Genomic DNA, 13,143 nt, shown 5'->3' with positions numbered 1-13,143 from the left:
CTTCCTGGCTTGAAATCGCACTTTTATATGGATGACTCTTTGATCTCTGTTTTGAACCCGTATTTGTTCTTGAACTCCAGATTTCTATATCCAATTCCCTCCTTCATTTTACTCTCTAATATATCAGGTTCGTGTGAAAGTAATTCCAGTTTTGGCCATTAATACAACTTCATGTGCATCTTAAATGTAATATATTCAAAATTAAACTACTAGTTTTTCCCTCCAAAATCTGCTTTTTCTACATTCTCCCCCGAAGACTAAATGGCAACTTTCTTCTTTCAGTTGCTCAGATCAAAAGCCTTGAATTTCCACTAAATGCTATGAAACTTTGAGATGGAAAAGCATCAATTGGCAGAGATATGTCTCATATAATTCTTACTGATTATCCTTTCCTAGAAGCTAATGACTAGAATCTGAGGCAGGGACATGAGTCATACCAAACCTGGCTATGAATAACACCCTGTTGTCTTCCTTCCCCTTGTCCCTGCCTTGTCACCCCTCTGATTTAGTCTTTGACATTAGAGCTCTGCTTTCTTGGCACCTTTTTATCCTTTACTTCCCTGTTTCAAGCCACATAGGTCTCAGGAGTGGCACAAAATCTTGTCAGCAGATGCTATCATTGATAGCATAATAGCCACAGACTATTCTGATACCTGTGTAAGTTCTGTTATAGAAATAAGCCTAGGAGTAATTTGTAGCTGGGGACACATATTAGAAATTAAAATAGGCTGGGCGTGGTGGCTCACACCTGTAATCCCAGCACTTTGGGAGGCCAAGGCGGGCAGATCACCTGAGGTCGGGAGTTTGAGAACAGCCTGCCAACATGGTGAAACCCCATTTCTACTAAAAATACAAAAAAATTAGCCGGGCGTGGTGGCACATGCCTGTAATCCCAGCTACTCAGGAGGCTGAGGCAGGAGAATTGCTTGAACCTGGGAGGCGAAGGCTGTGGTGAGCTGAGATCATGCCATTGCACTCCAGCCTGGGCAACAAGAATGAAACTCCATCTCAAAAAAAAAAAAAAAAAAAAAAAAAAAAAAAAAAAAAAAAAAAAGAAAGAAAATAGAATGAAATCATGCCATCATTATCTAGAAAATGCTATGCAGATAAAAATAAACATAAGAAATCTCGTGAAAATATGTACAAAAAGTTTCTGATACATAAACACTGCTATTAGTTCCCTTTCTATTCCCTCCAGGCTGAAGCAGCAAGACTACAAACATGGCAGTCAAGAGACATGGGTTCTATCCTACTGTCTCTGACTATGTCACAGATGAGCTGTGTGAATTAAGATGTGCCACCTCCACTCAGTTGCTCAGGCCAAAATCCCTGAATTTATTTAAACTCTTCTTTCTCTAACAATTTGCATGCAACCCATTAGCAAGTCCTGTGGATCTATCTTCAAATTATAGCCAGAACTCTAGCACCAACTTCCCTGGTATCACCCTAGTTCAAACTGCCATCCTCTCTTCTCTAGGCTTCTATTTTTTTTTTTTTTTGTCCAAGCCAATACCTCCAGTATTACATAAGTCTATGGATTTTGTGAATCTGAGGTCCCAGAAGTTTTGATAGATTCTCACAAATAATAAAATGTGTGTCTGCATAGTTTATCTGCATGGCTTCTTCCGTGTGTGTGTATGTGTGTGTGTGTGCACATTCCTTCCAATCTTCCCTGCTTCTAATTATTGGTGTGCCCACAATGTCACACCTCATCTGTATTTCTTTTCTTCCTACCAAAGAAAAGGTGCGCATGTGGGCACCTTTATATTATAAGCGGGATTCCACTCATAATGCATCCTGGGAATTCAGAGCCAGTAGCCAGGATGTGGGGAAATTGCTAAGGTCTGAGGGCTTGTGGTCATCTGAGCTGCTGCTACCCACAACATTTCTGACACTATTACCTGTTTGTTAGAAAGGATACAACGGAGCAACATCCAAATGGAAGAGATGCATAGGGCAAGGTGTGGGGGTGGGACATGGAGCTTCTGCGCCCTTTGGGGCACAGCACCTTCCCAGTACCTCAGTGTATTCACCAACCCAGAAGTCACTGAACCCTGTAGTTTAGAGGTTTCTATGGAGGTTTCATCACATAGCAAGACTGACTAAGTCATTGCTTATTGGTGACTAACTCAATCTGTAGCTCCTCTTCCCTCTCCACAGGTCAGGAGTGGGGCTAAAAGTTCCAACCCTCTAATCACACCTCGGTGTTTCTGGCCACCAGCTCCCATCACGACGCTACCTAGGGGCCCCAGCTATAGTCGACTCATTAGCATGTGGAAGATACTCATCACTCCGGAAGGGTTTTAGGAGCTCTATGTCAGGAACCAGGAACAAAGACCAAATATTTGTTTTTTATTACATCACAATGCCACATCCACAGATCTTCTTTCCCTGACACAGAGATTTGCTGGCTAAGCTATTCAATTTCATCTATTCTTGCAGACTTCGTTGTCTCATTGTTATGACAAACTGGAGCCAAATTTAAAAAATGTTTAAACCACATTTAGAAGGTATGATTTCTTTCTCTAAAAGGTATGATTTTATTTATTTAAGATGAAGCCAAAATTTTTGCAAACATGAGTTCCTCATGGTTATTGGCAGAAACACACAATCTTATCCTGACACGTAGGCCAGTCTCAAGCTTTCAAATAGGGCTGCAAATGGCCTCAGACTAATGTCTTTATTTCAGTTGTTAGCTGGCTTTATTCGTTAAAGCTGTTTTGGTTGTATGTCCATCACAGTAAGTTAGTTTATGCTACACTAGCAAACTACTTCAAAATCACAGTGGCTTATTGCAATAAGGGTTTAGTTCTTGTTCATGTTACTCACCTCTCTTGAGTCTGCTATCATCTCCTCCTGTTGGGAGTCAGACTGAGAGCAGCCACCATTGCCAATGATGTCCCTGTGCATGGTGGAGGGAGAGAGCTCTAGGTGGCCTTGAGATGGCAACAAAATGCTCTGTTCTGGAAGTGACACCTGCAACCTTAGTAACTCACTGCAACACGTTGTCTAGGGCCAGTCACATGCTGCCACTCAACCAAAAAGGGGCTACAGCAGCATGTGCAATCCTTTCATGTGGCCAACAGGTAGGAAGCTGGACTCCATGGTGAACAGCATTAACAAGTACCACAAGTTTCGAGTGACAGAAGCATATCAGCTATGGAAGCAGATGGAACAAAATAATGTTAAAGGGCCTACGAAGACAAAAGTGAGTGGACCTCAGGAAGCAGAGGATAAAACCGGCTCTCTGTCTCCTTTCTCTCTGCCTTCGTGTTTGTCTCCTTCATTCTTTTTTTCTTTCCATATTCTGACTTCTTCTAATTCTCAGGAACCCATGGGGCAACAGCCACCATCAGATTCTAGTTTTACATCTTGTAACCCAGGTACTTTATGAAAACTGGCTTTTTTCTTTCTGTTCCAGGTAAAAGACCCTGATTGACTGAACATGCCAGGGTCCAGTGACCATGACTGATCAAAACAATTCTTCCATATGGCAGAGTCATTTGGAAGAAAAGCAACAGCAACTGCAGTGGCCACATTAGTGTAAGCAGGAGCAGTTCTTAGAGGAAGAGGTTGTTTGGCAGACTAAATAAAAAATAAAACTTGTTTAATACAAACCTATTTGAACATTAGGAATGTAGAGAAATTCCCTGTGGACCTCAGACATAAGAGTGTAAAGAAAAAAAAAGATAGTTGTAAAAAATCAGTATGTGAGTAACTAATTTTTGTTCAGTTCTTTCTATTCTTTGAGGGGGAAGATTTCTATATTTACTGCAAAGAGGACTGAGTGACCTAATATTTGGCACCTTATGTGACAGACTGTAAATTCCACAAGGATCCACATCTGTATCCCCAAGTCTTAACATTTTGGTAAAAGATAAAATAGAACTTTAAGGGGAAAAAAATCTGAAGGCAAAAAAGGATCATTTTCAGTAAAGATCACCAGGGTAAAATAATAATTTTAAATTGTATTTACTAATAATATGACCTGAAAATGTATATAGCAGAATATAAATAAAGCTACAAGAAGAAATATGAAAATCCACTATCAGAGTGGAGATTTTTTAACACATTACTATCAGTAATTTATAAAACGAGCGGACCAAAAGTCAGCAAGCATATAGAATATTTAAATAACACATTCAGAAGCTGGAACTAATATACATATATCCGTATTGTACCCCACATTGCTGAATATATATTCTTTCTAAACACACATAGAATATTTTAAAAAATCAGCCATATATATATTGGACCTTAAATTTAATGTCTTAAATTTCAAAGGACTGAAATCAGTTAAGTCCCTCCCAATATCTTATTACAATGAAAACAAATCAGTAATCATTTGCAAAAGTAACATCCTCATATTTTGACAATTTAAAAGCACGCCCAGAAATAATACTTTGGTAAAATAAATATTAATACAAATCAGACTATATTTAAAAGTAAGCAATGAAAATGCTGTTATAAATTTGTATAGGATGCAGCTAAAGCAGGATGAAAAAAAGTATGATCTTGAACACTCGTAATACAAATCAGAGAATGAAAAGTAATGTGATAAACATCCATTAGGACTTAGAGTGGCAAAATAAAATACAATATAAAGAACAAAATAATAAACATAAATCCAGAAAGTAATATGATAAAATTAAATTTAAAATTGATGAATACAACAAAGCTAAAAAATGAGTCTTTGAAACAGCCCATGATAACTCTAGTCAAGAATAAAAGAGAGAATTCACAATTATACATACAGTATTAGATGTGAAAGGGAGTGCATAATTAATTATAGACGTTGCAGTCATTAAAAATACGGAAAAGGATATTATGATTTATATAAATGATATATAAAAAGAGTGTGTGCCAACATATTTAAATGAAATGTATAGATCTTAGAAAAATATGCGACCAAAAGTGACATAAAAATAAAAAAAAATGGTTTTGTAAACTTTAGTGACATTGAATTAATAGTAAAAAAAAAAAAGAAAAAAATCTTCCAGGCCAGGCACAGTGGCTCATGCTGGTAATCTCAGCACTTTGGGATGCCAAGGCAGGAGGATCGCTTAAGGCCAGGAGTTCAAGACAAGCCTGGGCAACTTAGCAAGACCCCATCTCTACAAAACAGAAAAACAAAAAAGTTAGCTGGGCATGGTGTCATGTACCTGTAATCCCAGCTACTTGGGAGGCTGGAGCAAGAGGATAGCTTGAACCCAGAAATTCAAGGCTACCATTAGCTATGCAGTGAGCTATGATCACACCACTGCACTCCAGCCTGGGCAACAGAGCAAGACTCAGTCTCTAAAACAAAACAATAAAAAAAATTCCCACTAAAAAATGTCTGCCATCACATGCTTTTCCCAGTGAGGTCTACATTTTAAAAGGTAGTAATTCCAACTGTGCAAAATCTCTTCCAGAGAATAGAAAAAGAGAAAAACATTCCTCAACTCATTTAACAAGGTTGATCCCATCTCAATACCAAAACCATACTTGAACAAATATGGGAAATGGAAATTAAAGACCAATCTAACTCTGAAGAGAGATGAAATAAATCACTATAATAAATGAGTACACAAAATCCAGCAATGTATAAAAAACATTGTATACGTATAATGCAGTAACATTTGACTTACAGAAATGTAAGGTTTATTAACTATAATAAACAATCTAGCACATTATCTAAAAAAAAGAAATGAGCATCAATAGATGCAGAATGATTACTAGAGAATATTCAATATCTATTCATGATTTCAAGTGCTCTTAAAAATTATAAACAGAGGGAGGCCAGGTGCGGTGGCTCACACCTGTAATCCCAACACTTTGGGAGGCCGAAGTGGGCAGATCTCCTGAGGTCAGGAGTTCAAGACCAGCCTGGCCAACATGGTGAAACCCTGTCTCTACTAAAAATGCAAAAATTAGCCGGCCGTGGTGGTGGGCGCCTGTAATCCCAGCTACTCAGGAGGCTGAGGCAGGAGATTGCTTGAACCTGGGAGGCAGAGGTTGCAGTGAGCTGAGATTGCACCACTGCACTCCAGCCTGGGCGACAAGAGTGAGACATCATCTCAAAAAAAAAAAAAAAGAGGGAAATTTTTTAATGCGATAAAAGGAACCTAAAACAAATACACAGTGTAATGGAAAGCATTATATTTAATGGTGAAACACTGATTGCATTCCCATAGAGATCAGGAACCAGACAAGAATGCCCACTATCATTTAGTCGCATTCAATGCTGTACTGGGGGTTCTAGTCAGTGCAGTTGAGGAAAAAGAAAAGTACAAGGTATAAAAATCAGAAATGATATGATTATGAACAGGGAATCCTAGATAATCTGCAAATAAATTATTTAATAAGAAAATTCAGCAACTTTGTTGGTACATAATCAATATACGAAAATGCATTACATTTCTATATGCCAGGAATAAATAGAAAATGAAAGAGAAAAGATACCATTTACAGTAACATCAAAAGTGTGAAATAGCCATGGATAAATCTAACAAAATATGTGCTTCTCATAAAGATAAAATTATAACACTTCATTGAACGTCATAAATAAACATGCTGTGGTTTTATGTAGGAAGACAATATTTTGAAGTCAGATCCACTCGATTATAAATTCAGTGCAATGCCACTCAACTAAACACCAATCAATATTTCATTGTAGACTTTTTTGTACTTGAAATACAATCATGGGCTGTATAATGACATTTTGGTCCAGGATGGACTGCCTCTGCCACAGTAGTTCCATAAGCTTATAATAGTGCGGCCAGGCATGGTCGCTCATGCCTGTAATCCTAGCACTTTGGGAGGCTGAGGCGGGCAGATTGCCTGAGCTCAGGAGTTCAAGACCAGCCTGGGCAACATGGTGAAACCCCGTCTCTACTAACATACAAAAAATTAGCTGGGCTTGGCGGCGTGTGCCTGTAGTCCCAGCTACTGGGGAGGCTGAGGCAGGAGAACTGCTTGAACCTGGGAGGTGGAGGTTGCAGTGAGCCGAGATTGAGCCACTGCACTCCAGCCTGGGCAACACAGTGAGACTCCATCTCCAAAAAACAAAACAAAAAAAATTAGAATAGTGTATCTTTACTGTACCTTTTCTATGTTTAGATATGCTGAGATACACAAATACCACTGTGTGGCAATTGCCTACAGCATTCAGTACAGTCACATGATGCACAGCTTTGTAGCCCTGGAGTAACAGGCTATACTGTATAGCCTAGGTGTGTAGTAGGTTACACCACCTAGGTTTGTGTAAATTCACTCCATGATGTTTGCACAATGACAGAATAGAGTAGCGATGCATGTCTTATAGCGTATCCTCATTGTTAAGTAATGCATGACTGTATACCATGGTGGATATATAGTCAGAATACTGGTTTAAATGTGATTTGAGATAATTGTTTTCTTCTGAGTATTACAAATTCATAGGTTCATTTGTTTCTATTGACATGAAATTTTAGTTTTTAAAAATTATTTTTATTTCCTGTTAATTTTTTTATTTTTTGAATATGTAACATATTAACATGGTTCAAAAGCAAAACATGTGTTTAAACATGTGCACAGAATTTTTTTTCTTTCATCTGCAACTACTTCCCACTTAGCACTTGGGGAACCAATTTCACTACTTTCTGGCTTTATGTTTCCATGCTTTCTTTTGCTATATTAAGTAGCTACAAACTGAAAAGAAGCTAAAGTCTAACACAGTGGGTTGAGTAAAAAATTGAAATACAGTCATACAACAAAATATTATTACCATGAAAATGAAGAGACTGCAGCAAGGCACATGAGCGTGGATGAATTTCACAAACATAATGGAGAAATAAGCAAGTTACAGGAAAATACAGCATGATTCCATTTATACAAAGCTCATAAATCAGTAAGACTAAGCAATATTTCTAAGGATACATAGATAGGAGATAAAACTATAGAGTAAAGCAGGGAAATGATTGCCTTGGGTGGGGAAAGAAGCTGATACAGTCTGGCTGGGGAATACAAGTGGGCAATGTTCTTTTGTCACAGGGTGGTGGTTACATGGGTATTTGCCTTATTTTTTATTTTTTAAATATACATATGCATTACAAAATGTTATTGTATATATTTAAGTTTTACAACATTAGGTTATAAGATACATATAGATAGTAAAATGGTTACTATAGTGAAGCAAATTAACATATCCATCATCTCAGTTATCCATTTTTGTGTGTTTGTTTTTTGTTGCAAGAGCAGCTAAAATCTACTCACTGAGCACGGATACCAAATACAATACACTTTTGTTGCCTGTAGTTCTTATGTTGTGCATTAATTCTCTAGATTTGTTCATTTTACATATATGCTGATATGTATCCTCTGACCCACATCTCTCCATCTCCTCACCCACTTGCCCATCCCTGATAACCACTGTTTTATTCCCTGTCTCTGTATACTTGATTTTTTTTTTTCAAGACAGTCTCACTCTGTCGCCCAGGCTGGAGTGAAGTGGTGCGATCTCAGCTCACAGCAACCTCTGCCTCCCGGGTTCAAGTGATTCTTGGGCTTCAGGCTCCCAAACATCTGTGACTACAGGTGCATGCCACCATGCCCAGCTAATTTTTTGTATTTTTATTTATTTATTTATTTTTGTATTTATGAGACAGACTCTCACTGTGTCACCCAAGCTGCAATGCAGTGGTGTGATCTTGACTCACTGCAGCCTTCACCTCCCAGGTTCAAGCAATCCTCCTGCCTCAGCCCCCCAAATAGCTGGGACTACAGGCATGCGCCACCACGCCCGGCTAATTTTTGTATTTTTTTGTGCATTGAGATGGGGTTTCCTCATGAGGTCCAGGCTGTTCTTGAACTCCTGGGCTCGAGAGATCTTCCTGCCTCAGCCTCCCAAAGTGCTAGGATTACAGGCGTGAGCCACTGTGCCCGGCCTTATTTTTTGTATTTTTAATAGAGATGGGATTTCACTATGTTGGCCAGGCTGCTCTCCAACTCCTGGCCTCAAGGGATCCACCCACCTTGGCCTCCCAAAGTGCTGGGATTATAGGTGCGAGCCACCACGCCTGGCCAACTTTTAAAAAGTATAGTCCTGTATGTATCACACACTTTCCAAGTTAAAAAAAGAATTGTAGTCCAAATATAACTTTTGGACTAAAAAATAGTTCATTTCTTACTAAACATTAAATTTCAAAGATAAGCATTTTCATACTCTTTGCTACTATGATTACCTCTACAAATTACAACATAGGTATTAACTATTAACTCCCTGGTTCAGGGTGAAACTTACATTTACCAATATTACATTGACAAGAATGGAAATAAAACGTTTATTTATGTCTTCCTGTCATCCACTGGATAGATAACGAGGCACAGGCTCTCTTCAGTTTGTGGGATAGAGAATAATCAGAATGTTGGATGAGGTCGTAAATCTTTCACCATGACATTTAGGACCTGACTAATCTTATTATTCCCACCAATATACTCAAGACAGGGTGAAAAGATAAGAGAGAAAAAAGTCTCTTCCTTTGGTCATTTTAATTTATAGGCTAACACATTCATTTTAAAAGAAACAAAGCTAGAGATACTCCATATAATGTAAGCCATCTACCATCTTTATAGCACTGGGATGTGGTTTTCATTCTCAGTCCCTTACATCTCCAATGCATCATATTCCAGAAATTTTATTCCCTGCAGGTGCTGAGTCAGCTTGAGTACTTTAAAGATTTGGTCAATAGGAACAGGGACCCTGAACACACTATAGTATGACTTAAATGGTAATGAAATCATCTGGAATAGGTGACCGTTGCACTTTTGGGGACTAAATGTTCATGGAATGAGAACAAAGGGGATTAGGCACAGAAGTCCAACCCATTATCTTATCATGATTAGTCAGAGCTTGGCAATGCAGCCTTCACTCACCACCTTGGCGTGGTGTTGGTGGTGGTGGTGGAGTGTTTGGGGTTTGGGAGAAGTTAGGGTTGGTTCACTACAAGGTTTCTGTGGCTTCCCACAGAGCTTCCCATGCAGCGTTTGTCTCTGTACATATTGCAGCCTTGCTTAACCCTGAGGGGACAGATGATGAGCCCTACCACTTCATAATCCAAGAATGATATGGACCTCCTCGCATTGTTTTTAATTCCTCAAATTTCATTATCCTATGCCATCTTCTATCTTAAATTTTCAAAGTGATTTTATACCAGCTAATGTTTTGACATTCATAGCAACTTTGGTCTCAGTAGGTTCTCGTGCACATGGAAGAGAAGGATTAGGATGTACTGAAGCCAGAAGACTTGGGTGTGCGGTCACTAGAGCAAATAAGGATGTGGTTGGATATGGCTCACAGAATGAACTTTACTAAATTTATGCAAAGATCTGTATCCAGTGACTGAAGTTTTGATTCTGGTTAAAAGGCTAAAAGTTTGCAAGGGTGTCCCCTTCCTCTCAGCCTCTCTTCCTCCTCTCTTTGTACCAATTCATTGTGGCTAGAGCTGCTGCAAGAGTAGATTTATCTCCTTGCTTTGATGTAAAGGTCTTTTGGCAAAGGGAAAAGCAGATCAAACTTCAGCAGAGCCCTCCTTGAGCCCTAAAACTAGCCAATTCTGGCGTCATTTTTTATCCATGGGTCAGTCTGCCCTTGATTCTTCTGGCATGCAGCACAATGCCAGATAGATACACTGATTATTGCACTTTTTAACTAGCTGTCTGAACCTCAGTTTCTACATCTGCAAAATAAAATAATAGCTAACTGGGAGGATTCTCGTCAGTAGTAAATAAAATGATGGCAGTAAGGACTACACCCATAATGGATCCTTGAAAAATAGCTATTTTTAGTGGCTATTATTTGTTCGCACCCAATGTTTGGTGTAACTGTGCCATGGAAACACCCTTCATTGGTGGGCAATGGAGGTTCAGATGATGAGAACAAACGCAGTGTTTGCAGTTGTAATATGTGGGTCTCAGGGTGTTATCTACAAGGGGCTAGGGGGATGGACTAGATTTTCAAAGACTTTCTCTGAGGTCAAGAGAGGCCAAAGTACTTCTCAATTTTTTCTTTTTCATTTGTTTTTTTTTTTTTTTTTTTTTTTTTTTTGAGACAGAGTCTTGCTCTGTCACCAAGGCTGGAGTGCAGTGGCGCGATCTCAGCTCACTGCAAGCTCCACCCGCCCCCCCATTCAAGCAATTCTCCTGTCTCAGCCTCCCAAGTAGCTGGGACTACAGTCGCCCGCCACCATGCATGTCTAATTTTTTTTGTTTTTTTTTTTTAGTAGAGACAGGGTTTCACCATGTTGCCCAGGCTGGTGTTGAACTCATGAGCTCAGGCAATCCACCTGCCTCGGCTTCCCAAAGTGCTAGGATTACAGGCGTGAGCCACCTCACCCAGCCCTTTTTCGCCCTTAATCTAGGCAACTGACTGGCCTTGACTGGTATCAGCAACAGATCCCTCCATCCCCCCAGAGACTATTCAGGAAAGGCACTGAGAAGCTTCCATACACCCATGGAGAGGGAGAAGTAATGAACGGTGGAGTCGGTATCTGAACCCAGAGCTGGGGCTCACCAGTCAAGTATTCTTTACTCTCCACCACAGCTGCCAGTATTATTAAACATGGGCTGGGATAGTTGGTCACTTTCTGTCTTTCCAAACATTAGAATAGTAAAAGGCCCAAAGAACAGAAAACCAAAACACCCATGATCATTTTGTGAACAGTCTAGAGTGGGCAATGAATATGTGTATGTACATATGTATGCATGTGCGTATGTGTGTGACATCTATATGTGTTTTGTATGCATCCATATATACACTGATGTATATATGTCTGCATGTTTGTATGTAGGTACCTATACCACCATATGGAAGCCTATTATTTTTGTAAATTCTATTCATATTGATGTTGATTTTAATTTTATATTTCCTTGTCCTTCAAGGCAAATTCCTAAAGACACAACAGCAAATTTAGTGGAGAGCAAAAAGTACTCTAGAATAATTTTAAAATTGAAATGTATTTTTATGTATTATTAAAGAATTATAATCTTATTGAAGAAAATGTAAAAAAAAAAAATGAACCTCTCTGAATTGGAGTGCCCTAGCATAATGACCACTGGCATTTGCAATCATTTCTTCCAGCCTCCTTTCTTAAGATTTTTTTCTCTTCTCTCTCTCTCTCTCTCTCTCTCTCTCTCTCTCTCTATATATATATATATATATATATATATATATATATTTACAACCCTTGAGTAAGCTATGTTAAATCCGGAAAATAATAATATAACTGACAGTATTAGCCATTACTTCCTCCTCCAGTGGATTTTAAATTCCTTAAGGCAGGAACCATGTCTTACTCAGCTTTCTATTTCTGATTTTTCTCTTCCCCCTTAAGGCTTACTACAGTGACTTGTATCTAGCAAGCATTCAATGAGTGCTGCTGAATCATATTTTGCATGGAAATTGTAGAAGACTGAAGAAATCCTGGGAATAAAGATTCGCGTGTCAAATGAACGATGAGTTTTAAACTGAAGACATAGTAATAAAGTATGCTCTTCCCAGGAGACTAGACTGATTCCAAATATGCACTCAACATTGGGATTTCTATTTTCTCCAAGGTAAGAGTGTTCCAGTTTATTGAATCCATTCACAACGTGGGCAGGTTCCTGTCATTCAAATCAAGTTGGCCTTCAGTAATGGATTTATGCAACAGGAACATGCAAAGTAGATTTTTATTAACAAATGTCCCTGTTCAATCTCCAAGGGAAGTGGCAGAACTGCTTTCTCATGATAAAGAGGATTAACTAAATGAAGAACTGCAGTTAATCTCTGAGTTTGCCCTGATTGTTCTGCAGTGCTCTTTTTGAAAATAAAATTGGAAGGTCTTGATGCAACTGAAGTCTTGCCATTGCGCCCTTATTCAAACTGCAAAAGGAATGCCAAGTCTGGATGGTGTGTGTTGTGTGTCAGACAGACAATCTCACTTTCGTATAATTTTTTTTTTTTGAGATGAAGTCTCACTCTGTCACCCAAGCTGGAGTGCAGTGGCACAATCTCAGCTCACTGCAACCTCTGCCTCCCAAGCTCAAGCAATTACAGGTGCCTGCCACCACACCTGGCTAATTTTTGTATTTTTAATAGAGATGGGGTTTCACCATGTTGGCCAGGCTGGTCTTGAACTCCTGACC

At 39.0% G+C, this 13,143-nt stretch overlaps 1 long non-coding RNA gene across 2 annotated transcripts; it reads left to right on the top strand.

Annotated features, from left to right (window-relative positions):
* Window positions 1–1,938: 1,938 nt before the first annotated feature.
* LOC107985466 (uncharacterized) lies at window positions 1,939–3,574 on the top strand. Of its 2 annotated transcripts, none has more exons than XR_001737832.3 (3): window positions 1,939–2,510; window positions 3,087–3,208; window positions 3,422–3,574. It is a non-coding gene; the product is annotated as an uncharacterized LOC107985466 (long non-coding RNA). The 2 variants fall into 2 exon arrangements; XR_001737833.1 differs by having other exon boundaries at window positions 2,426–2,510; window positions 3,014–3,208.
* The last annotated feature ends 9,569 nt before the right edge of the window (window positions 3,575–13,143 follow it).

The sequence above is a fragment of the Homo sapiens genome, chromosome 1 (assembly GCF_000001405.40).
Source record: "Homo sapiens chromosome 1, GRCh38.p14 Primary Assembly".
In the NCBI taxonomy this organism is placed as follows: Eukaryota; Metazoa; Chordata; class Mammalia; order Primates; family Hominidae; genus Homo; species Homo sapiens.
The sequence above is the reverse complement of the archived record's forward strand: the minus strand, read 5'-3'. Positions and strand labels throughout refer to the sequence as shown.